This window comes from Homo sapiens, chromosome 15 (assembly GCF_000001405.40).
Source record: "Homo sapiens chromosome 15, GRCh38.p14 Primary Assembly".
NCBI lineage: Eukaryota > Metazoa > Chordata > Mammalia > Primates > Hominidae > Homo > Homo sapiens.
The window spans coordinates 24,926,235-24,953,237 of record NC_000015.10 but is presented as its reverse complement, the minus strand read 5'-3'; the positions used below and the strand labels follow the sequence as shown (position 1 = coordinate 24,953,237).

Here is a 27,003-nt window from a genome sequence, read left to right as displayed (position 1 = left end):
GACTCAGGCTCTTTTGATTCAAATTCTAGCTTTGACTCTTGACCACAATGTTACTTTGAGCAAGTTATCTAACCCTCTGTGCATTAAATTCCTAATCTGTAACAAAAGAAGGGATTCTGTTTACTTTATACAATGGCTTAACAATTAAATGAGCTAAAATACTATTTAGAACAGGTCCTAGTATAAGCTGGGTAAAAATGTTGGCTCTTAGAACTTCACCAAATGTTAGAGTACTACTTCTTCTAGGAGCAGGAATTGGGTGTTCATTTTTTATTCTCATTGTTTTAACTAATTTCTATATCTTATATTTCTTTTTTTTCCTAATATCCTTTTTCCATTGTGGACACCAAACTTACATGCCACAAACATTATAATCATGTTTCTTTAGGTTTCTCTTGGCTGTCACAATTTGAGATTGTTTTGTATTTTTAATTTTTACAGTGCTTGGTACTTTTTGCAGTGATTATGAATTACTTTTACAATTAAAGTATTATTAAAATTAAATAAAATTATATTCAATTCTCAACTCGCACTTATCTAGTTTCTTGGACCTATCTTCCATTGTTTCTGGTGTGTTCTCTTTTCAAACTCTGACTGCCTTTCCTCATAATTTCCTGTTTGTTCTACTCCATTAGGAAATTCGCTTTGGAGTCTGAGAGGTCACAATGGGTGTCCTGGGCTTTACAGAAAATCTAAAGAGAACTGCCATTAGGCTCACTTATATTTTATGTTAGTTAATAATAGGTCTGATTCAACATATCCTACAACTGGGGAGTGAAGATACAGAGAAGGAGACATTGCCACTAAACTCCACTATGACATGCTAGTAGACCCTGATAGGTCTCCCAACAATTCAATTTTCCCAAAGTCTACATTTATCCCCAAGCCAAACACTTAAGGTTATGTACTTAAAGGACACTAAAACTGCAATAAAACTATTCTGTACAGAATAGACAAAGGAGACTAGAAAAACTAATCAGAACCCTTGCATCATACCATGTACAAAAATTAACTCAAAATAGATCAATAAAATATAAGTCACTTGTTATAGAACATATATATACATGTTATATATGTATACAGGTACACATATATACCTATGTATAAATGTGATATATAACATTTGTGTATGTGTATATTTTACACATATATTCCATGTATACTTATGTATACATGTATAAATATATGTGTGTATATATATAAATCCGTGTAACCTTGAATTAGGCAACAGTTTCTTAGATATGACACCTAAAACAAAAGCAACCAAAAATAATAAATAAACTGAACTTCATCACAGTTACATAAAAGTTTTCGATTCAAGGGACATTAAGAAAGTGAAAAGACAGCCAAGAGAATGGGAGAAAATATTTGCTAAACATAAAGCTACTAGGAGTGTAGTATCCAGAATGTATAAAGAAGTGTTAGTACTTGGCTGGGCGCAGTGACTCATAAGTGTAATCCCAGCACTTTGGGAGACTGAGGCAGGCAGATCACTTGAGGCCAGCAGTTCGAGACTATTCTGGCCAACGTGGTGAAACCCCGTCTTTATTAGAAGTATGAAAATTAGCTGGGCATGGTGGCACATGTCTGTAGTCCCAGCTACTCGGGAGGCTGAGGCAGGAGAATCCCTTGAACCCAGGAGGCAGAGATTGCAGTAAGCCCAGATCACGCCACTGCACTCTAGCCTGGGTAATAGAGTGAGACTGTCTCAAAAAAAAAAAAAAGTGTTACTATTCAACAATAAAAGGACAAAAACATTTTTTTTTAATGGGCAAAGGATTAAAATAGTTCTTAAATACCAATGGCCAATAAGCACATGAAAAGACACAATCGTTAAGTCATTAGAGAAGTACAAATGAAAACCACAATGAGATGCCACTTGGGGCTAGAATTAAAAAGACAATGACAAGGGTTGTGGAGGAGGTGGAGAAATTGGAACCCTCTAACACTGCTGATTGGGATGTGAAACAGCACAGCCACAGTGGAAGAGTTTGGCAATGCTTACAAATGTTAACCCTGAAGTTACCATATGACCTACAATTCTACTCCTAAGCAGATCACAAAGAAATGAAAACGGCCAGGCACGGTGGTTCACACGCCTGTAATATCAGCACTTTGGGAGGCCGAGACAGGTGGATCACCTGAGATCAGGAGGTTCGTGATCAGCCTGACCAACATGGTAAAACTCTGTCTCTACTAAAAAATACAAAAATTAGCCAGGCATGGTGGCGGGCGCCTGCAGTCCCAGCTGCTTGGGACTGAGACTAAAGACTCCCTTGAGCCCGGGAGGCAGAGGTCGCGGTGAGGGAGATTGCACCACTGCACTCCAGCCTGGGCGACAGAGCAGGACTCCGTTTCAAATTTAAAAAAAAAAAAAAGGAAAACATAGGGGCCGGGCACAGGGGCTCAAGCCTGTAATCCCAATCCTTTGGGAGGCTGAGGCAGGCAGATCGCTTGAATCCAGGAGTTCGAGACCAGCCTGGGCAACATAGCAAGACTCGTCTCTACAAAATAAAAAATAAAAAAGCCAAATGTGGTGTTGCACACCTCTGGTCCCAGCTACTCGGGAGGCTGAGGTAGGAGAATCACTTGAGCCTGAGAGGTGGAGACTGCAGTAAGCTGTGATGGCACCACTGCACTCCGCCTGGGTGATGGAGCAAAACCTGTCACCAAAAAAAAAAAAAAAAAAAAAAGAAATGAGAACATATCTTAATGCAAAAACATGTATATGCATTTTCATAGCAGCCTTATTTATAATAGCTAAAAAACTGGTGGTGGCTCATGACTGTAATCCCAGCACTTTAGGAGGCTGAGGCTGGCTGATCACGAGGTCAGGAGTTCGAGACCAGCCTGGCCAACACAGTGAAACCCCATCTCTACTAAAAATACAAAAATTAGCCGGGTGTGAGGGCACGCACCTGTAGTCCCAGCTACTTGGGAGGCTGAGGTGGGAGAATCGCTTGAACCCAGGAGGCGGAGGTTGCAGTGAGCCAAGACCCTGCCATTGCACTCCAGCCTGGGTGACAGAGTGAGACTCCGTCTCAAAAAAAAAAAAAGTTAAAAACTGGAAACAACTCAAATGCTCATCAACTGATGAATGAATAAACAAAATGTGAGGCCAGGTGCAATGGCTCATGCCTGCAGTCCCAACACTTTTGGAAGCCAAGGCGAGAGGATTGCTTGAACTCAGGAGTCCAAGATCTCCCTGATAGCAAGACTCCATTTCTACTAAAAATTTTTTTTTAATTAGTTAGGCATAGTGGTGTGCACCTCTAGTCCCAGCTACCCAAACTGAGGTGGGAGGACTGCTTGAGCCAGGGAGGTTGAGGCTGCAGTGAACTATGATTACACCATTGCACTTTAGCCTGGGCAACAGAGTGAGACCCGTTCTCCAAAAAAAAAAAGAAAGAAAGAAAAGAAAAAGGAAACAACTATGGCATGGTACAATGGAATATCATTCTGCTATAAAAAGGAATGGAGTGTTGATTCATGAAACAACATGGAAGAACCCTGACAACATTATGCTGAGTGAAAGCAGCTAGACAGAAAAAGGCCACATATTATGGGGTTTTTTGTTTGTTTGTTTTGAGATAGAGTGTCACTCTGTCACCCAGGCTGGAGTGCATTGGCACAATCATGGCTTACTGCAGCCTCCATCTCCTGGGCTCAAGTAATCCTCCCACCTCAGCTTCCTTAGTAGCTGGGACTACAGGCATGCACCACCATGCCCAGGTAATTTTTTTATTTTTTTGTAGAGACCTGGTCTAACTATGTTGCCCAGAGAGGTCTCCAACTCCTACACTCAAAAAATCATCCCACTTTGGCCTCCCAAAGTACTGGGATTGCAGACATGAGGCAACATGTCAGGCGTTTTTATGGTTCTTTTTATATGTTCTGTTAAGGATTGGCAAATCCAGGCCAAGTGTGGTGGCTCACGCCTGTAATCCCAGCACTTTGGGAGGCCGAGGCAGGTGGATCACCTAAGGTCAGGAGTTCAAGACCAGCCTGGCCGACATGGCAAAACCTTGTCTCTACTAAAAATACAAAAAATAGCCGGGTGTGGTGGCACGTGCCTGCAATCCCAGCTACTCAGGAGGCTGAGGCAGGAGGATCACTTGAACCCAGGAGACGGAGGTTGCAATGAGCCGAGATTGCGCCACTGCACTCCAGCCTAGGTGAGAGAGTGAGACTCTATCTCAAAAAAAAAAAAAAAAAAAAAAAAAAAAAGAATAGGCAAATCCATATAGACAGAAAGCAGATTAGTGATTTTCAGGGGATGGGAGAGGAGTGAAAGGAGAGTAATTGCTGTTGGTTATGAGGTTTCTTTCTGGGATGATCAAAATATTCTGGATTTTGTGGAATTAGTAGGTTATCTAATTTTCCAACCATAGGATGGTTGGGAAACGTTGTGAATATACTCAAAAGCACTGAATTATATATTTTAAAAGGGTAAATTTTATACTATGTGAATTATAAATCAGTTTTTAAAAACCCTAATTGAGGGACATTCTACAAACATTCGACCAGTAATCCCCAAAACTGTCAAGGTCATCAAAACAAAGTGAGAAAATGTCACAACCAAGAACAACCTTGAGACACATGAGTACTAGCTGTACTGTGATTTCCTGGGTGAGATCCTGGAACAGAAAAAGGGTATTTTAGAAAAACCAAAGACATCTGGATAAAGTATAAATTTCAGTTAATAAAAATGTACCAATATTGGTACATCAATGAAACAAGCGTAACATGTTAATAGGGGAAACATATGAGACACATGGGAACTCTCTCCTATCTTTGAAATAATTTTTAAATATAAACTGTTCTGAGGCCAGGTGCGGTGGCTCACACCTGTAATCCCAGCACTTTGGGAAGCCGAGGCGGGCAGATCACGAGGTCAGGAGATTCAGACCATCCTGGCCAACATGATGAAACCCCGTCTATACTAAAAATACAAAAATTAACTGGGCATGGTGGCATGCATCTGTAGTCCCAGCTACTCAGGAGGCTGAGGCAGGAGAATCACTCGAACCTGGGAGCTGGAGGTTGCAGTGAGCCAAGATCATGCCACTGCACTGTCCAGCCTGAGCGACAGAGTGAGACTCCATCTCAAAACATAAATAAAATAAAATAAAATAAAAAAGGAAGATTGCTATTTTGAGTTTTCGATTACATTGTGAAACACTGATGCAACATTAAGAAATTCTACAGCATGGCACATGTATACCTATGTAACTAATCTGCACATTGTGCACATGTACCCTAAAACTTAAAGTATAATAATAATAAATAAAATAAAATAAAAAAAGAATGGGAGGTATCAATATAAAAAAAAATTCTAGCAGAAAAGTGAGTGGTAGATTGAGACCCATTCCTCCGCCCCCTAACTTATTGAGAAGTAGAGGTCTTTTAACTGATATAAATTACTTTCTTTTTCCTTAGTTTCAGACAAGTATAAATAAAGTCCAACCCAGACATGGAAATAAGATGTGCTGCTACTTGGATAAAATACTTTTGGAAGGGGTGGAAAGATATTTTAAAACAAATACAACTGTATGACAAAACAAAATATAAAATTAGGTTATGTTTTTCTGTTTTGGTTTTTTTCTTTTTGAGACAGAGTCTCACTCTGTTGCCCAGGCTGGAGTGCAATAGCACGATCTCAGCTCACTGCAACCTCCGCCTCCCGGGTTCAGGCAATTCTCTACCTCAGCCTCCCAAGCAGCTGGGACTACAGGTGCATGTCACCATGCCCAGCTAATTTTTGTATTTTTAGTAGAGACGGGGATTCACCATAGTGGGCAGGCTGGTCTTGAACTCCTGACCTCGTGATCCACTTGCCTCTGCCTCCCAAAGTGCTGGGATTACAGGCGTGAGCCACCGCACCCAGCCTCAGGTTATGTTTTAAATACAAAATAATGTGAAGTTTTCCCTGTATAACTGCCACATCATCCCCAGTCCATCTTCCCTTCCATGAGGAGTACTTTTGTGGCAGGGTCTCTTAAATATAATATTTGTCTTTTAAAAAAGCACTTCTACTAATAGTAATCTGAAATAATTATACACACTAAAATATTTTTGAAAGCTGCATTTTGATATAACTAAAACAAATATAAAAGGCATATACATTATAAAATAATTTGAAGTAAAATAACCTTAAAATTTATGGAACATAAACAAAATATTGGAAATGATACTTTAGAGGGACTAACATCCTTCTTATAACAAAATTAAAAATTCAGAAGCAGAAATTCAATGTAATAAAACGAGAAAGACTAGATGGTTTGAAATCTGCACTCTATGTGAGCAGCTCTCTTTATTTTTATTTATTGTACAACCACATATCCTTACTATGCAGCAGATACTTTTCTAAGTACTTTAACATTAGTTCATTTAAAAATCATGTTCTGGATTCAGGACTAGATCCATAAAAAATTAAAAATAAATAAAAAACAAAAAATAAAAACCATGTGATGGCCACTGCAGGCTCATGCCTATAATCCCAATATTTTGGGAGGCTGAGCAGAGGGATCACCTGAGCCTTGGAGTTAGAGACTAGCCTGCATAACATAGGGAGACCCCATCTCTACTAAAAATACAAAAATTAGCTGGGCATGGTAGCACGTGCCTGTAGCTCCAGCCACTCAGGAAGTTGGGACAGGAAAATTGCTTGAGCACAGGAAGTCAAGGCTACAACGAGCCATGATTACATCACTGCACTCTAGTCTGGGTGATAGAGTGAGATTCCAAGACTTCGTCTCAAAAAAACAAAACAAAACAAAAAAACCGTGTGAGTTACTATTTCATTTCCATCTTTTCTTTTTATTTTTTTTAGAGACAGGGTCTCACTCTGTTACCCAGGCTAGAGTGCAGTGGCACAATCATGGGTCACTGCAGCCTCGACCTCCTAGGCTGAAGCTATCCTCCCACCTCAGCCTTCTGAGTACCTGGGATTACAGGCATAAGGAACCATGCCTGGCCCTATTTCCATCCCTTTTACAGATTAGGAAACTGATGCCCAGAAAAGAAAAGAACCGTACTCAAAGTCACACAGCTCTCAAGCATTTGAGCCCAGATTCAAGCCAAGCATTCTGATTCCAGTACTGCCAGCTCTCAACCACAACTCTTTGCTGCTCCTCTTCATTATAATTCTATTCCATAAGAAGTTTTTATAAATGCAAACATATAAACCTAAAGCCAAGGCAGAAAGATGGGTAAAAACACAAAACAGGACACACACACATTGAGCACTGGAGCCCAGGAACTAACCCAACAGGCCTTTCTGCTCAAAGCACCAAGTAACAGGAGCAGCCAACATGTTCCAGCCTTTTGCCTACATGCACCATCTGTCCCACAGGAAAGCAGGCAAGGGACAGCCTTGATGAGGAGAGAGAAATCTTTGCTGAATTTCTCCTCTCCCGCCTCAATCTAGGGAGCAGCTGGAAAAAGACTAGACTAATAGCAACCTTCTTAGAAAATCCCAAGATAGGCTCAGGAAGAGAATGAACAAGAAAAGAAAGTACCTACTCTTGAGAATGCACCAACTGGAACACAAGCAACAAAATAAAAAGCTCTTCACCCATGGCCTTTGCACATATTCTTACCATGCCTATGTTTTAGAAAAGAGAGCCCTTGACGGTCAGCAAACTATGCCAAATCCTGCCTGCTGCCTGTATATTTTTTTTTTAAAGAGATGGGGCCTTTCTATATTGCACAGGCTGGAGTGCAGTGGCACGATCACAGGTTTAATTATAGCACAATATAACCTTGCAGTCCTGGGCTCAAGTGATCCTCCTGCCTCAGCCTCTCAAGTAGGTGGGATTACAGGCATAGTGATATGCACAGGTACCTACCATTGCAACTGGCTGTGGTACTTTTTTTTTTTTTTTTTTTTTTTACATGGTGGGTGGGGGAAAGGGGGAGAGGAGGAAAGGAGGAAAGGATCCAAGGAAAAGTTTATTTTATGATGTGAACATTATATGAAGTTCAAATTTTAGTATCTATAAATAAAGTGTTCTTGGAACACAGCCACAGCCATTTGTTTATGTATTGTCTATGACTACAACCACACAGTTGAGTAGTTGTAACATAAACCATATGACCCACAAAGCTAAACATTTGTTATCTGACTGTGATAGTGATCTTATGTGTCAATGGGGCTAGGCCATGGTACCCAGATATTTGGTCAAACATTAACCTGGATGGTGCCACGATGGCATGTTTTGAGATGGGATTAACATTTAAATCAGTAGACTTTGAGTAAAGCAGATACCTTCTTTAATATGGGTGGACCTCATCCATTCAATTGAAACCCATAAGAGAAAACAAACCAAAGAAAAAGAAGATGAAATTCTCTCCAGACTGCCCTTGGTCTAGAGCTACAACATCAACTCTTCCCTGAATCCATAGCCTGCTCTGAAGATTTTGGACTAGCCAGCCTCCATAACCACATGACCAATTCTGAGAAAGAGAAACAGAGACTGAGACTATACACATCCTGTTAGTTCATTTTGTTTTTCTGGAGAACCCTAACACACACAGATTTCGGTAGCAAGAGTAGCTCTACCTGAACCAGATCTTAAGAATAAATTTTCTGAATTAGTTCTGGGGTTGGTTTCTGAAATTGGTACTCTAAACTAACTAGATTTAAAGGCATTAATTACGAGTAATCAAAAGAACACTAGCTAATTGCTTTTTGTATTTTTAGTACAGATGGGATTTCACCATGTTGGCCAGGCCACTCTCGAACTCCTGACCTCAGGTGATCCACCCACCTTGGCCTCCCAAAGTGCTGGGATCCCACAACGCCCAGCCCAGATACTTTAAATTAAATAAGTATAAAAGGCAAGGTTCTGGGTTAACATGTATGATACCTTCAAACATTTTGTCAAACTAACAAGTATAATGAGACTGTCTAGTTGCACCTAATTTCACTGAACAAAGTAGGGGGAAAATTAGCTCAGGGATTCAAACACCCAGCTCATGTGCTACATTAATGACCTGAAAAGCTGTAGTTTTGAGTGGATCCCAAAACAACAGAAGCTTCTGCAACAGGTCCAGGCTGCAACATAAATTTCTCTGCCTCTATGGTCACATGATTCTGCAAGAACCAATGATGCAGCCAGGTGTGGTGGCTCATGCCTGTAATCCCAGCACTCTGGGAGGCTGAGGCAGATAGATCACTTGAGGTCAGGAGTTCAAGACCAGCCTAGTCAACGTGGTGAAACCCCGTCTCTACTAAAAATACAAAAATTAGCTGAGTATGGTAGTGCACCCCTGTAATCCCAGCTACTCAGGAGGCTGAGGCATGAGAATTGCTTGAACCTGGGAGACAGCGGCTGCAGTGAGCCAGGATCATGCCACTGCACTCCAGCCTGGGAAACAGGGCGAGACCCTGTCTCGAAAAATAAAAAAATTAAAAAAAAAAGAACCAATAATGCTTGAAGTGTCAGTAGCAGACAGTAATGTCTTTTGGAGCTTTTTGCAGGCCCCCATTGGTAAGTTGCAGCATAGGCCTTTAGGATATTGGAGCAAAGCCCTGCTATCCTCTGTAGTTAACTACCCTCCTTTTGAGAAACAGCTGTTGGCCTGCTACTGGGCATTAGTGGAGACTAAAGGCTTAACCATAGGACACCAAGTTACCATGTAACCTAAGCTGCCCTTCATGAACTGGGTGTTATCTTACCAGCCCAGCTGTAAAGTTAAGCCTACACAGCCAGAACATGATCTGAAGACACAACTAAGTCACATGAAGAAGTGGCTCAAATGTCCACGGCCCCCACTCCTGCTACACTGCTTTCTCTATCCCAGCTGCACCTATGGCTCATGGGGGGTTCCCTTCAATCAGATGATGGAAAAAGAGAAGACTCAGGCCTGGTTTACAGATGGTTCTACAAAACATGCACATACCACCCAGAAGTGGACAACTGCTGCACTACAGAGCCTTTCTGAAGACCTCCCTGAAGAAGAGTGGTGAAGACAAATCCTCCCAGTGGGTAAAGCTTGGGACAGTGTTCCTGGTTGTTTATTTTGTTTGGAAGGACATATGGCCAGATATACAATTATATACCAATTTATAGGCCGTGGTCAATGGTTTGGCTGGTCAGTAATGTGGAAGGAGCATGATTGGAAAATTGGTGACAAGGAAGCCTTGGGAAGAGATAGATGGACTTATAGATAGACCCCTCTAAATCAGCCCCAAAAAAAAAAAAAGGTAAAGACATTTGTGGCCATGTGAATGCCCACTCAGCAGAGGAGGATTTTTATGACAAAGTGGATAGGGTGACCTGTTTCATATGTACAGTCAGGCTCATTTTTCTGTCATTGCCCAATGGGATTATAAACGAAGTGGCCATGATGGCAGGGATGAAGGTTACGCATGGGTTTGGCCACATGAACTCCCATTCACCAAGACCAACCTAACTATGGCCACCACTGAGTGCCCAATCTACCCTCAGCAGAGACCAACACTGAGTCTCCACTATGGTACCATTCCCCACAGTGATCAGGTAGCTACCTGGTGGCAGGTTGATTACACTGAATCCCCTCCATCATGGAAGGGCCAGTGTTTTGTCCTGACTAGAACAGATGCTTACTCTGGATACAGATTTGCTTACACTGCATGCAATGCTTCTGTCAAAAGTTCCCTCTGTAAAATCACAAAATGCCTTAACCACTATCATAGTATTCCAAACAACATCGCTTCTGACCAAGGAACTCACTTCATAGCAAAGGAAATGCAGCAATGGGCCCATGCTCATGGAATTTGGTGGTCTTACCATGTTCCCCGCCATCCTAAGGCAGATGATTTCATAGAATGGTGGAAAGGCCTTTTGAAGATTCAGTTACAGTACCAGCTATTTGGTAATACTTTACAGGACTGGGGTAAGGCTTTTCAGGAGGCTGTATACTGTCTGAGTCAGTGTCCAATATATTGCTGTTTCTCCCATAGTCGGGGTTGACAAGTCTAGAAACCAAAAGATAGAAATGGGAGTGGCAGCCCTCCACAAATATCCCTAGTTGACCAACTAGCAAAATTTGTGTTTCCTGTCCCCATGATCTCATACTCTTCTGGTCTGGCAGTCTTAGTTCCAACAGCAGGAATATTTCCATCAGTAGATATAGCAGTAATTGGACTGAAGTAGAAGTTAGGACTGCCATCTAGGCCGGGCACGGTGGCTCATGCCTGTAATCCCAGCACTTTGGGAGGCCAAGGTGGGTGGATCACGAGGTCAGGAGTTCAAGACCAGCCTGGCCAAGATGGTGAAACCCCATCTCTACTGAAAATACAAAAATTAGCTGGGCACAGTGGCAGGCACCTGTAATCCCAACTACTGGGGAGGCTGAGGCAGAAGAATTGTTTGAACCCCGGGCAGCAGAGGTTGCAGTGAGCTGAGATTGCGCCACTGCACTGCAGCCTGGGTGACAGAGTGAGACTCTGTCTAAAAAATAAATAAATAAATAAATAAATAAAAACAAAAAACTGCCATCTAACCCTTTTAGGCTCCTCATGCCTTTGAATCAACAAAGAAGGGAATTGTTGTGCTGGCTAGTGCCACTCATCCTGATTACCAAGGAGAAACTGGACTTCTGCTTCACAAAGGAAGTAAGGAAGAATACATATGAAGTACAAGGGATCCCTTAGGGTATTTCAGGATTAACCAAGCTCTGTGACCAAAGCCCATGGAAAACTCTAACAACGAAATTCAGGCAGGACTATGACTGGCCTAGACCCTTCAGAAATCAAAGGTTTGGGTCACCCCACCAGATAAATAATCACAACCAGCCGTGGTGCTTGCTGAGGACAATGGAAATACATAATGAGTAGTAGACAAAGGTAATTACAAATATGAGCTGTGACCACCTGACCAGTTACAGAAATCAGAACTGTAATTGTCTTGAGTATTTCATCTTTTATAAATAGGTTTGTGTATGTGCCTGTGTGTATATAAAATGTCATTGTTAGGCCGGGTGCAGTGGCTCACGCCTATAATCCCAGCACTTTGGGAGGCCAAGGCAGATGGATCACCTGAGCTCAGGAGTTCAAGACCAGCCTAGCCAACATGTTAAAACCCCGTATCTACTAAAAATACAAAAATTAGCCAGGCATGGTAGTGTGCACCTGTGGTCTCAGCTACTCAGGAGGCTGAGGTAGGAGAGTCGCTTGAACCTGGGAGGCGAAGGTTGCAGCGAGCCAAGATTGTGCCACTGCACTCCAGCCTGGGCTGTGAGACTCTGTCTCAAAACAAAAACAAAAACAAAAGAAAACAGATTAAGATCTCTTGAGGAAGAGAGGGAATTCTGCCTTCAGACTAGTTTCAGACTTAACACTTAACACCGCAACTCTTCCCTGGGTCTCCAGACTGCCAGCCTAGTCTGCAGATTTTTGACTTGCAAGACTGTACCATCATGTAAGCCAATTTCTTAAAATAAATTTAAAATAAATCTCACCTCTTTTTCACTCACACACACAAACACACACACACACACACAGCTCCTTTAGAGGAAAATTTGCTGACACCTGCCTTAGACACCGCCTACAGCACCAAAGTTGTCAGAACTCCTGGTCAGAATAGGATGATTAACAATCTTCCTCACTGCACGTAGTCCTACAAGTCACATTTGAAATACTGATTCTGAAATGTAAAGACTAAAAATATTTTTTAAAAAGAATGCAAAACATAGACAACTGGAATAGAATAGAGATCCCAGAAATAAACTCTTCCATATGGTCAAATGATTTTCAACAATTGTGCCAAGACCTTCAATGGGGAAAGGACAGCCTTTTCAACACGTGGTACTGGGAAAACTGGATATCCACATGCAAAAGAATGAAGTTGGACCCTTTCCTTACATCATATACAAAAATGAACTTGAAATGGATCAGAGACCTAAATATAAGACCTAAAGCTATAAAACTGTCAGGAAAAAACGCTTCATAACATTGCATTTGGCAATGATTTCTTGACTACAACACCAAAAGCTAAGGAAACACAAAAATAGATAAACTGGAGTATATCAAAATCAAAACCTTCTGTGCATCAAAGGACACAATCAACAGAGTGAAAAGGCAACACACAGAATGGGAGAAAATATTTGCAAATCATATATTTGATAAGATGTTAATAGTCCGAATAGATATAAGACTCCTCAGCCAGGCACAGTGGCTCATGCCTGTAAGCCTAGCATTTGGGGAGGCCAAGGTGAGTGAATCACAGGAGGCCAATGGTTTGAGACCAGCCTGGCCAACATGGTGAAATCACATCTCTAATAAAAATACAAAAATTAGCTGGGCATGGTGGTACACGTCTGTAATCCCAGTTACTTGTGAGGCTGAAGCAAGAGAATTGCTTGAACCCGGAAGGTGGAGGTTGCAGTGAGCCAAGATCACACCATTGTACTCCAGCCTGAGCGATAGAGTGAGACTCTGTATCAAAAAGAAAAAAAAAAAAAGAAGAATTCTATAATCAACTTTAAAAAAAAAAAAAACCTGATTTTAAAATGGGCCAAGCCAGGTGCAGCGGCTCACGCCTGTAATCCCAGTACTTTGGGAGGCCGAGGTGGGTGGATCATTCGAAGTCAGGAGTTCGAGACCAGCGTGGTTAACACGGTGAAACCCCGTCTCTACTAAAGATACAAAAATTGACCAGGCATGGTGGTGCACATCTGTAATCTCAGCTACTCATGAGGTTGAGGCAGGAGAATTGCTTGATCCCAGGAGACGGAGGTTGCAGTGAGCCGAGATTGGGCCATTGCACACCAGCCTGGGCAACAGAAAGAGACTCCATCTCAATAAATAAATACATACATATATACATACATAAAAATGGGCAAACGTCTTAATAAGAATTCTCCAAAGACATACAAATGGCCAAGAAGCACATCCAAAGATGCTCAGCATCACTAATCATCAGGGAAATCAAAATCAAAATCAAAATCACAGTGAGATACCACTTCACACCCATTTGGATGGCTACTATAAAACACAGAAGAAACAGAACGTAAGTCATGGTGAAGACCAGAGGAATTGAAAACCTTGTATAATGTTGGTAGGAATGGAAAATTTTTACAGCCACTATGCAAAACACTATGTGGTTTCCTAAAAAAAATGCAACAGAAGAATTACCATGTGTTCTGGGTTTTCTTAGCTTCTGTGTTTGACTATTTGGGATCCGTTCATCACCAAGCCAATTATATTAACTATATCTTATTTTCTGTATTTTTGTTGCTCTGGCTTTTGAGGGCCTTGCAAATCATGGGAGAGAATGTCCTTCCCAAAGCTAGCTAATTCTCGAATATAATAACAATTTGTCTATAAGCATGTCTTTCATATGCCAAACAACCAATCCCAGTCTGTAGCCCAGCCAACTCCTTAGCTAACTCTCGCTGGCCACTATTTCCCATATTCTATATACCCAGGGCACAAACCAAGTCACTAGAGACCATCCCTGTAGCCCAAAGCCAACCAGAATTATTTAAACTAACCCATCCTATGCTCAAACCTGCCCTGTGTTTCCCTTGGAGTCCCCAGTAAAGGCTTTGCCCTAGATTTTTCCCTTCACTCCTATCTTCTGCCTCCTGACCAAAACCTAGTGCTCCTCACGTGATGTGGTGTAGTGTGGCATGCCCCCTTTCTGGGAAAATGTAAGTAATAAAAATCTTCAATTGGCCAGGCATGGTGGCTCACACATGTAATCCCAGCACTTTCGGAGGCCAAGGCAGGCAGATCACTTGAGGTCAGGAGTTCAAGACCAGACAGTGCTAGATTTAGCACTGTCACTTCAAGGTTATATCTAAAAGAATTAGAAGCAGAAGGCCAGGCATGGTGGCTCACACCTGTAATACCAGCACTTTGGGAGGCCAAGGTGGGTGGATCACTTGAGTTCAAGAGTTTGAGACCTGCCTGGCCAACATGGTGAAACCCCCAATCTACCAAAAATATAAAAAGTTCGCCTGGTGTGTTGGTTTGAGCCTGTAATTCCAGCTACTTGAGAGGCTGAGGCAGGAGAATCAAGCGAAAATCGCTTGAACCTGGGAGGTGGAGGTTGCAGTGAGCCGAGATCATGGCGTGGCACTGGACTCCAGCCTGGGCGAAAGAGCAAGGCTCCAGCTCAAAAAAAAAAAAAACGAATTAGAAGCAGAAACTCAAAGAGGTATCTGCACACCCATGTTCATAGCAGCATTATTTGCATTACCCAAAAGGCAGAAGCAACCTAAACATCCACTGATGGATTAATAAATAAAATGTAATGCATACATGCAATGGAGTATCATTCAACCTCAAAAAGGAAGTACATTCTGATGCATGCTACAACATGGATGAATTTTGGAAACACTACACAGAATGAAATAAGCCTGTCACAAAAGGACAAATACTGTATGATTCCATTTATACGAGATATCCAGACTAATCAAATGTCATGGAGACAGGAAGTAGAATGGTGGTTGCCAGGGGATGGGGTGTGGGGAGGAGGAAACGGAGTTATTATTTAATGGGCAATTTTCAGTTTTGTAAGACAAAAAGTTCTAGAGCTAGACAGTGGTGATGGTTGCACATCAATGTGAATGCACTTAGTGCCCCTGAAACGGGTAAGATGAAAATTTTATGTAATGTTTTTACAATTTAAAAAGTGCAAAGCATTATCAAAAAGTAGCAAATACACTAGATTCACATGAAAAGCAAGTCAAGATGAAATTTTTTTTTAATTAAAAAAATTTTTAGAGACAGTCTTGCTCTGTCATCCAGGCTAGAGTACAGTGGTGAGATCATGGCTTGAACTCTTAGGCTCAAGCAGTCCTCCCACCTCAGCCTCCTGAGTAGCTGGGACTACAGGTGCACATCACCATGCCTGTTTTGTTTTTGTCTTGCTTTTTCGTTTTTTTTGTTTTGTTTTGTTTTGTAAATACAGGGTATCACTGAAAATTTTTTAAATACTAAAAAGTGTCAATAATTATACATTTCTAGGGAAATTGTTTTGATTTTTTTGTTTGTTTGTTTGTTTTAGACGGAGTCTCGCTCTGTCGCCAGGCTGGAGTGGTGTGGCATGATCTCGTCTTGCTGCAATCTCCGGCTCCCTGGTTCAAGTGATTCTCCTGCCTCAGCCTCCCAAGTAGCTGGAATTAGAGGCACGCACCACCATGCCCAGCTAATTTTTGTATGTTTAGTAGAGAGAGTTTCACCACGTTGGCCAGGATTGTCTCGATCTCCTGACCTCATGATCCACCTACCTCAGCCTCCCAAAGTGCTGGGATTACACACGTGAGCCATCGCACCTGGCCGGTTTTATTACTTTATAAGTTACTGGCAAGATACATTTATTTCTCATCAGCAGTAAATTCCATTGATAACTGAAAATAAGTAAAATATTTCTTTGGTCCCTGATGTGGTTTGAGTCTGTGCCCCCATCCAAATTTCATGTCAAATTGTAATCCCCAATGTTGGACGTGGGGCCTGGTGGGATGTGACTAGATCACAGGGGTGGATTTCCCCTTTGGTGCTCTTCTTGTGATATATCACAAGATCTGGTTGTCTGAAAGTGTGTGGAACCTCCTCCCCTTGCTCTCTCTCTCCTGCTTCTGCCATGTAAAGATGTGCCTGACTCCCCTCTGCCTTCTGCCATGATGCAAGTTTCTTAGGGACTCCCCAGCCATGATTCCTTTAGAGCCTTCAGAACCATTAGCCAATTAAACCTCTTTTCTTTATAAATTACCCAGGCTCGGGTAGTTCTTTATAGCAGTGCAGGAATGGACCAATACAGTCCCCAATTTCCTGACCTAACTATCACTAGGCCCTTGGTCCAAATTTGTACCATGTTCAAATCTGACTCCGTTTCTGCCAAAATTCTGGTTTCCAACACCTTCACAGTTCAGCACCGCCATCCCTACCAGATATCAGGAACATGGGCTTTCTGAAAATTAACATGGGAGCCTAACTTGGCCTCCTAATTCTGGATGCCAAGCAGCAAATTAAGCTTTCTCTAATTCTCACCACAAAGTTTTACACAAAATCATGGAATATAAAGAAGTATCTTTTGGCAGCAGGTTCAGAATTCACAGGAAAGTTGCAGTCATCTTCAGTGGGAGATTAGGTGCAAAAGGGAGAAATAACACAATTTTTTTTTTTTTTTGAGACAGAGTCTTGCTCTGTTGCCCAGGCGGGAGTGCAGTGGCATGATCTCGGCTTACCACAACCTCCGCCTCCTGGGTTCAAGTGATTCTCCTGCCTCAGCCTCTCAAGTAGCTGGGACTTCAGGCATGCGCTACCATGCCCAGCTAATTTTTGTATTTTTAGTAGAGACGTGGTTTTCACTATGTTGGCCAGGCTGGTCTTGAACTGACCTCGTGATCCACCCACCTTGGCCTCCCAAAGTACTGGGATTACAGGGGTGAGCCACCGCACCCAGCCCATGATTTTTAATTCTTCTCTGTCTGGCCCCAAAGAGTGAGCACCCATAGTCCACTTTTTCCAGAAGCAAGAAGGACTTTCTTATGCTCAACCTTATTTTAGGGCAACTTTTCAGACTCCACTGCTCTGAAAACTCTCCTGTTTAAAACTTCCCTTGATTATATTTGCTCCAAATAGATCACACATGCTTGAGATGACATGTTTAAAGCAAATGACCTCCAGTCCAGACTTCTTGGCGTGGGCAGGACTCCTTAAAAACACTGCAGCCTCCTCTCTCTTCCTTACCTTGTTCCCAAAATGCTTCCCACTTCCCACTCAAGAAACAAAACATTCCCTATCCACTCATGGTCCTGTCACATCCAAATCTTAGCTCAGATTCTTGCCTCCTAACTTACAGAATCTCTTTCTCCATCCTTCTGTTCTCAGCTTGAACCCTTCAGAAAGCTTCTCAGGAATGTTTTGCAGGCAGAGACCCATTCACAAAGCACAATCCCTACATCAGTACTTATATTTATGTTTCATATGATCTCACCTATTAAACAAAAATCGAACTTTTTTTTTTTTGGAGACAAAGTCTCGCTCTGTTGCCCATGCTGGAGTGTAGCGGCATGATCTCGGCTCACTGCAACCTCAACCTCCCGGGTTCAGGCAATTCTCCTGCCTCAGCCTCACGAGTAGCTGGGACTATACGGGCATGCTGCCATGCCCAGCTAGATTTTTGTATTTTAGTAGAGATGGGGTTTGACTGTGTTGCCCAGGCTGGTCTCGAACTCCTGAGGTCAGGCAACCGGCCTGCAACGGCCTCCCAAAGTGCTGTGATTACAGGTGTGAGCCACTGAACCCGGCACAAAAATTTAACTTCTACTAGACTGAAACCTCTGTGATGAAAGCACTTTTATCTTGCTAACTTGTGATCTCCCAACAAAATATGCACAAGCAACTGAGTACCTGCCCCCATCTGGCCATATAAATCAGAGGTCAGCCAAGCACGGTGGCTCATGCCTATAATCCCAGCACTTTGGGAGGCTGAGGCAGGCAGATCACTTGAGCTCAGGAGTTTAAGACCAGCCTGGGAAATATGGTGAAACCCCGTCTCTACCAAAAATACAAAAGATTAGCTGGGAGCGGAGGCACACGCCTCTGCTTCCAGCTACTCAGAAGGCTGAGATAGGATTGCTTGAGCCCGGCGGGTGGAGGTTGCAGTGAGCTGAGATGACGCCACTGCTTTATAGCCTGGATGACAGAGTGAAACCCCATTTCAAATAATAATCAATCAATGAATCAGGCAGAGATCAGCAGCCTTTTTCTGTAGAGAGGAGAGCCAGAGAGTAAATATTTTAGGCTTTGAGGACGATCACTCACAACTACTCAACCTTTGTAGTGTGAAGTGTGAAAGCAGTCACAGACAATATGTAAACAAGTGGGCATGAGTGTATTCCAATAAAACTTCACTTATGGACCGTGAAATTTGAATCTTATATAATTTTTATTAAATGCTATTCTTTTGCTTTTTTCAAGTATTTATTTATTTTATTTTTTGAGACAGAGTCTCACTCTGTTGCCCAGGCTAGAGTGCAATGGCATGATCTCGGCTCACTGCAACCTCCGCCTCCCAGGTTCAAATGATTCTCCTGCCTCAGCCTCCTGAGTAGCTGGGACTACAGGCATGCACCACCACACCCAGCTAATTTTTGTATTTTTAATAGAGACGGGGTTTCACCATGTTGGCCAGGCTGGTCTCGAACTCCCAAACTCAGGTGATTCGCCCGCCTCGGCCTCCCAAAGTGATGGGATTACAGGTGTGAGCCACCGCACCTGGCTCAAGTATTTAAAACCATAAAAAACTTTGTTAGCTCACAAGCCATACATGTATGCATAGCAGTCCAAATTTAGCCACAGGTTGCACTTGGCTGACCCCTGGTATAAATTAATACAGACGGAGTCAGTCCCTAAATTTGTCTCCATGATCTCATTCTTTCTGTTTTCCAATTAGCCTGTGGACTTCCCCGTATCTTACCAGAAGACTGCCTTGATGAAAATCCTTCAATGAATGCCATGTACCCTCTACTCAATGGGCCTGCCCACCTGGTAGACCCCACACCTTGTCTCCTCTTCTGTTTCTCCTTATACCTGTAAGTCAGGACTTCTGCCCTTCTGGCAATCCCTTTGATGTGTTCAGTTCCCTTGACTGTGAATGGCCATCAAATTCTCCTCTATTTTTAGTAGAAACAGGGTTTCATCATGATGTCCAGCCTGGTCTCGAACTCCTGACCTCAGGTGATCCGCCCACCTCAGCATCCTGAAGTGCTGGGATTACAGGCATGAGCCACCGTGCCCAGCCTAAGACCTAGGGGCTTGCCTCTGAACCCCAACTCAACCACCGTTTTCCCCAAGAATCCCCTCCCAGCCTCTCTCCTCTAGGCTCCTACACACACCATACTAAGCTCATTATCCTCTTGTAGATATCAGGTATGTCTGATTGTTTTTTTTTTTCTTTAAACCAGCCGCCCTCCAGAGCCACAGATGTTTTCCTAACAGCTGGCAAAAAGTCAACTTTTCTTTTCTTTTTGTTTTTTTGAGACAGGGTCTCATTCTGTCGCCCAGGCTAGAGCACAGTGGCATGGATCTTGGCTAACTGCAGCCTCAACTTCCCAGGCTCAAGTGATCCTCACACTTCAGTCTGTCAAGTAGCTAGGACTATCAGCACGCACCTCCAAGCCCGGCTAATTTTATTTTTTGTAGAGAAGAGGTCTCCCTGTGTTGCCCAGGCTGGTCTCAAACTCCTGGACTCAAGTAATCCTCCTGCCCCAGCCTCCCAAAGCGCTGGGATTACATGCATGAGCTCCATGCCCAGTCAAAAGTAAACTTTCAATCAAGATTACAGACTTGGCCAGGCATGGGGGCTCACGCCTGTAATCCCAGCACTTTGGGAGGCTGCGGCAGGTGGGTCACCTGAGGTCAGGAGTTCCAGACCAGCCTAACCAACATCGTGAAACCCCATCTCTACTAAAAATACAAAATTAGCTGGGTGTGGCGGCACATGCCTGTAATCCCAGCTACTTTGGAGGCTGAGGCAAGAGAACCACTTGAACCTGAGAGGCCAAGGTTGCAGTGAGCCGAGATTGTGTCATTGCACTCCAGCCTGGGCAACAAGAGTGAAACTCTGTCTCAAAGGAAAAAAAAAAAAACATTTACAGACTCAATGACTCTTATTGGTGGAATACACATTATGATTGACAGAGATAGTCTTCTTGACCAAACTCTAGCCAGGTTCCTCTGAGCTGCCTTCTCAACTAGGTCTTACGCTGGGCACAGTGGCTCATGCCTGGAATCCCAGCACTTCAGGAGGCTGAGGCAGGCGGATCACCTGAGGTCAGGAGTTCAAGACCAGCCTGGACATCATGGTGAAACCCCGTTTCTACTAAAGTACAAAAATTGGCCAGTCGTGGTGGCGAGCACCTGTAATGCCAGCTCCTCGGGAGGCTGAGGCAGGAGAATCACTTGAACCCAGGAGGCGGAGGGTGCAGTGAGCCAAGATCGCACCATTGCACTTCAGCCTGGGCAACAAGAGCAAAACTCCATCTCAAAAAACAAAGAAACAAAGTCAGTCTTAACCCTGGCCTATAAATATTTGAACAAAATACTAACATAGATTCTAGCATCTCAAGGCCATATCCCCTGGTTGACTGTATCCCCCTTAAATAGCCTGCCTGAAAAAAGTGAAGCCTCCCAAATGAATTTACTCTTTGTTCCAGCCAACAGCAGAAGATAGGGCCCCTGTCTCCTGGCCTCTGTGCGAGGGTCATAGTCTAACTTCAAACAGCACCAGTTAGCAATCCCAGGTAGGTTTTACATGGAACCACCACTTTTGGTAAATTTTTACTTCTCTGACTCAACTGAGCATACCCTACCCCACAACTCAACTCCCTCCTATTCCCTGATTTTCCCTTTGTGGGTGAAGCAAAGTCTTTTTTTTTTTTTTTTTTTTTTTTTTTTTTGAGACAGGTTCTCACTCTGTCACCCAGGCTACAGTAAAGTGGTGAGATCTTGGCTCACTGCAACCTCTGTCTCCTCAAGTTCAAGGGATTCTCCCACCTCAGCCCCCTGAGTAGCTGGGACTACAGCCATGTGCCACCATTCCCTGCTAATTTTTGTATTTTTGTAGAGACAGTGTTTCACGATGTTGCCCAGGCTGGTCTCGAACTCCAGAACTCAAGCCATTCACCCCCCGCCCCTCCACCTCCCAAAGTGTAGGATTACAAGCGTGTGGCACCCCGCCCAGCCTAGGTCTTGATGTATTGCCCAGGCTGGTCTCAAACCCCTGGCTCAAGCAATCCTTCTGCCTCAGCCTCTGCAGTAGCTTCATTCCAGTGTCCAGTAGACACCCAGCTTCATTCTTCCTTTAAAATACCCAGTCACCTCTGTACACACCAAAGTTGAGTTCAGTTCATGCTGGACTTTCTTCACGATTACAATAGTTATTAGTGATTAAAATGTGTCCTTACCACTATAACTAATACCCAGCTTTTGTTTTTCTTTAACATAATTAAGGTAGAAAAAACTGGAATAAAATCATTCAGTATATCCTGGCAGCATTATTAATACAGACAGGGGCCAAGGAAGGAAATGTTGTGCCAGGCAAAAATAAAAACCAGAAGAAGCAAAACTAATTGCAAAGTTCCTAGTAATCAAATAATATGACTTTTTTAAAAGTTAGCTTGTAGTAACGTACTCTCAACTAGAAAAAAGTTTTATAGAATTTATTAAAGCTCACTTTTTTGTTTTTTGAGACAGAGTCTCACTCTGTCGCCCAGGCTGGAGTGCAGTGGTGTGATCTTGGCTCACTGCACCCACTAGGGCTCCCCACCTCAGCCTCTTGAGTAGCTGGGACTACAGGTGTGCACCACCATGCCTGGCTAATTTTTTTTTTTTTTTTCTGAGACAGACTCTTGCTTTGTCGCCCAAGCTGGAGTACAGTGGCACAATCTTGGCTCGCTGCAACCTCCACCTCCCAGGTTCAAGCAATTCTCCTGCCTCAGCCTCCCGAGTAGCTGGGCTTACAGATGCTCACCACCATGCCCTGCTAATTTTTTATTTTTAGTAGAGACGGGGTTTCACCATGTTGGCCAGTCTGGTCTTGAACTCCTGACCTCGGGATCCACCCGGCCCGGCCTCCCAAAGTACTGGGATTTACTGGGATTACAGGCGTGAGCCACTGCACCCAGACTTTTTTTTTTTTTTTTTTTGTATTTTTGTAGAGACAGGGTTTCCCTATGTTTCCCAGGCCGGTCTCAAATTCCTGAGCTCAGGTGATCCTCCCTTCTCAGTCTCCCAAAGTGCTGGGATTACAGGTGTACCACAGCCAGCAAAGCTGAGTTCTAATAAGGTATAGGTGAACCTAGACAGATTTCTGAAGGCAATAATCTATATTCTGAGAATTTAAGGACATAGGCAAAATAAAAAATATCTATGCATAAAATATTTTTTGCCCTCATGTAAAATAATATATTTCTCCATCTCATCATTGAAATAAAAAGAAACCTAATAAATCATCTATTTAACATTTACTCATAGACCCAATCACTATGAAAGATCAGTCTTGAACAGTTTTTTTTTTTTTTTTTTTGGACTGTGGTGTAATTTTTATATTTTTTATCTAGAAAAAAATTTATTATTTTTATTTATTTATTTTTGAGATGGAGTCTCGCTCTGTCACCCAGGCTGGAGTGCAGTGGCACAATCTCGGCTCACTGCAAGCTCGCCCTGTCACTACAGGCACCTGCCACCACGCCCAGAGAATTTTTTGTATTTTTGGTGGAGACAGGGTTTCACCGCGTTAGCCAGGAGGGTCTTGATCTCCTGACCTCGTGATCCACCCGCCTTGGCCTCCCAAAGTGCTGGGATTATAGGTGTGAGCCACCGTGCCTGGCCATTTTTTTATTGATACATAATAGATGTACATGTGTTCAGGTTGATTCTTTGAGCAAATTTGTTACTGTCTCAATTGATTTTATTTGAAAAATAAAAATATGTAATTTTTGCTCTTGCAGAAACTGATACTGACAGAAAAATCATCACATGGACCCTGCTCTCATGCTGTCTACCATTCAACAGGAAAATAAAATATGCTGGACTCCACTTGGAAGAAAATGTGTTTATGCCTTTTTAGGAAGTCGTGTGGCAGCCCCATAGAGAGTTGGCTGGGTCTCAGCCCAGGGCCCTGGGCCATTTCTGCCACCCAGAACTCAAGGAGACAGTCTGCCACCCTCATGAGGGGACACCCAACTGACAGGGTACCTGCAGCTTCCCTGAGCTTCCCAGGTGCCTGCAAGTATTCCCCATCTTCCTAGACCTGGCCCCTTTCACTGCAGAAGCCTGCTTACATTTATCTGAAAATTTTAAAAGTTTAATATTAAATCTATGATGTGTGTATGATGATGCTCCTCTTGTCTGGCAACTGATGAGAGGAAAGGGGACCCTAGGAGGCAAGGGGGAGAGTAGGGAAAGAGATGAAACAGAAATGGGGTGACACTCACTGGGAGAGAGGGTTCTTAATGTGGAAGGAAGCTCTACAAATAGGAAGGCAAGGAAAAACCCTGCGGTGTAGATTGGGATGGAAAATATCACTATAAATACATGAAGATATATATACACATACACACATATAGCTACATACATATATACACAATACATATAGTCACATACATATAGCTATATCTTTATATCCCGTATATCTGGAAGGGCCTAAAAGCAATAACATACCAGTAGCACCAAGACCTTGGTTTCTAAGTACGCTTCTCCACAATAGAAATCAGGATTCCTTGGAAAAAACACAGCTGATTTAATAGTGGGGACAAGAGAGATACAACATGAGCTTGGAATGTGTTCTGAGGTCATGTATCTAAATGGGGTCAGTATCTAAAAATTGGAGCTGGGAGTGATGGCTCACACCTGTAATCCTAGCACTTTGGGAGACCACGGCAGGAAGATTGTTTTAGGCCAGGAGTTTGAGACTAGCCTGGGCAACATGGCAAGACCCCACCTTTATAGAAAATTAAAAAAAAATAGCTAGGCATGATGGCATGTGCCTGTAGCTACTCCAGAAGCTGAGGCAGGAGGATTGTTTGAGCTGCAGTGAGCCGTGCTTATGCCATGCCTGGGTGACAGGGCAAGACCCTGTTTCAAAAAAAATAAAAGAGGGAAAATTACAGCTAGATAGAGAAAACAAGTTCTAATGTTCTGCAGCACTGTAGAATGACAATTTTTTTTGATACTGACCATTATTTATAATTGTGATTATTAATCACAATTCTACTCTCTACTTCTATGAGGTCAACTTTTTAAGCTATTTATATTTCTGTGCCTGGCTTATTTCATTTAACATAATGTCCTCCAGTTCCATCCATGCTGCTGTGAATGTCCAGATCTCATTCTTTTTTTATGGCTAAATAGTATTCCATTGTGTATATGCACCACATTTTTTTAATCCATTTGTCTGTTGATGAACACTTCGGTGGATTCCATATCTTGGCTATCGTGAATAATGCTGCAATGAACACAAGAGTGCAGCTCTCTCTTCAATACACTGATTTAACTTTGGATAAATACTCAGTAGTGGAATTGCTGGTTCACAGGGTAGTTCCATTTGTAGTTTTTTGAGGACTCTGCATACTGTTTTCCATAATGACTATACTAATTCACATTCCCACCAAAAGTATAGGAGAGTTCCCTGTCATCTGCATCCTCATCAGCATTTATTTTTATGTCTTTGTGATAACAGCAAATTCTAACTGGGATGAGATGATATCTCATTGTGGTTTTGATTTATATTTCCTTGATGATTAAATGTTGAAAGAATGGTTTAGCCATAAAACATCATTTTGACGACCACAATAGTAAACACCGTGTTGTGCCAACCAAAACAGCATCAGTAGAATCCAGTCTTAAGAACACTTCAGATGGACTCAAGCTGAGGACATTCCGTAACATACCTAGCATGCATGCTTCAAAAGTCACAAACACATGAAAGGCAAAGGCAGGCAGAGGAACCATTTCAGAGGAAAGATATTAAACATTATGGCAGACTGATAAGATACTTAGTGCCAAACAAGATATTTAACATGAAAAAGCTATAAAAAACATTATTGGGGCAAATGAAGAAACTGGGTTATGGCCTGTAGATTAGATAAAATAATTGTATAAATGTTATATTTCCTGAATTAATATCTTTACTATGATTATCCAAACGTATATCCCGGTTCTCAGGAAATGCATTAGGGACATGATGTCTGCAACCTTCTCTCAAAGTGGTCAAAAGTAAAAAAAAAAAAAAAAAAAAAAAAAAAAAAAAAAAAAAAAAATTTAAAAACTTTATAAGCAGTGGGAAACAGAGGGAGAAAAAAAAGAGGGAAAGGAGGCCAGGCTTGGTGGCTCATGCCTGTAATCAAAACACTTTGGGATGTCAAGGTGGGAGGATCACTTGAGCCTAGGAGTTTGAGACCAGCCTAGGCAACATGGCAAGATCCTGTCTCTATAAAAAATTTTAAAAATTAGCCAGGTACGGTAGCATATGACTGTAGTCCCAGCTATTCTGGAGGCTCAGGCAGGAGGTTTCTTTGAACCCAGGAGTTTGAAATGCCATTGAGCTATGATTATGCCATTGCACCCCAGCCTGGGTGACAAACCAAGATCATGTCTCCAAAAAAAAAGAAAAGGGGGAGAAATGAAAGAGGGAGGGAAGGAGAAAAATTGATTAAATAATGTGAAAAAATATTAGTATTTGTGAATCTGGATAAAGGGTAGGTTTTTTTTAAAATATTCTTTTAAGCAACAGGGTCTCACTCTGTCACCCAGGCTGGAGTGCAGTGGTGTGATCATGGTCTAGTGCAGCCTCTAACTCCTGTACCCAAGCGATCCTCCTGCCTCAGCCTCCTGAGTGGCTGGGACGATAGGCATGCAACACCACACCCAACTAACTTTTACATTTTTTTTTTCTGTAGAGAGGAGGTCTCATTATGCTACCCAGGCTGGTCTCAAACTCCTGGCCTCAAGCAATCCACCCATCTCAGCCTCCCACGGTGCTGGGATTATACCCGTGAGCCAGCACACCTGCTACTAATATTCTTTTAACTTCTGTAAGTTTAAGGTTGTTTCAAAGTAAAAATTTAAAATAAAATAGCATGGATACATCTATTTGTTAAAAAGTGCAAAAAAAAAACCAGAATCCATGTATGTACTTACAAAATATAAATAAAATTCCTCTGGAAGACACATAGGCAATGATATCACATTTGCCTCTGAATTGGAAGGAATATAACAGCATGGTGAAGAAGCAGGGATACAAGCAGAATGTCTGCATAATTTATCATTCAAACTAGCACACTTCTGAGAGAAAGCAGGATTATTCATAATCATGTCAGGACAATAATTTATGTGTGCATCTGTGCCAGGCAAAAGGGGATATATTGTCATTACGGGTGGAAAGAGATGACTTCTTACTGTATGCCTTTCGTATATTTTGATTTTTAACTATGTAAACATATTATTCAAATATATAAATAAAAATTTACATATATAATTTAAAAAGGAATCACCTACTCAAT

General features: G+C 42.4%; 1 protein-coding gene and 1 long non-coding RNA gene across 86 annotated transcripts in view, besides 1 other annotated feature; both read right to left on the bottom strand.

Moving 5' to 3' along the window:
• The window catches only part of SNHG14 (small nucleolar RNA host gene 14), a 595,855-nt gene that overhangs the window by 466,225 nt on the left and 102,627 nt on the right, over window positions 1-27,003 (bottom strand). The gene's annotated exons all lie outside the window — the stretch shown is intronic.
• Window positions 1-27,003, bottom strand: part of SNRPN (small nuclear ribonucleoprotein polypeptide N) — a 155,087-nt gene that overhangs the window by 25,486 nt on the left and 102,598 nt on the right. For 18 of the 85 annotated variants that reach the window (NM_001400640.1, NM_001400641.1, NM_001400647.1 and 15 more), the window contains one exon: window positions 2,548-2,663. The exons of 52 other annotated variants lie outside the window; for them this stretch is intronic. The gene's annotated coding sequence lies outside the window, so the exon portion shown is untranslated. Of the gene's footprint in view, window positions 1-2,547; window positions 2,664-10,775; window positions 10,964-12,118; window positions 12,232-13,486; window positions 13,761-27,003 lie in introns of all 85 variants that reach the window. 15 more of the 85 variants (NM_001400690.1, NM_001400692.1, NM_001400739.1 and 12 more) reach the window with 6 other exon arrangements.
• Window positions 1,725-2,365: an enhancer, noted in NCBI's record as "OCT4-NANOG-H3K27ac hESC enhancer chr15:25196020-25196660 (GRCh37/hg19 assembly coordinates)". NCBI's record gives its function as "activates a minimal SCP1, AML or CMV promoter by ChIP-STARR-seq in primed H9 embryonic stem cells {active_cell/tissue: H9 hESC(primed)}" and the evidence as "EXISTENCE:reporter gene assay evidence [ECO:0000049][PMID:30033119]".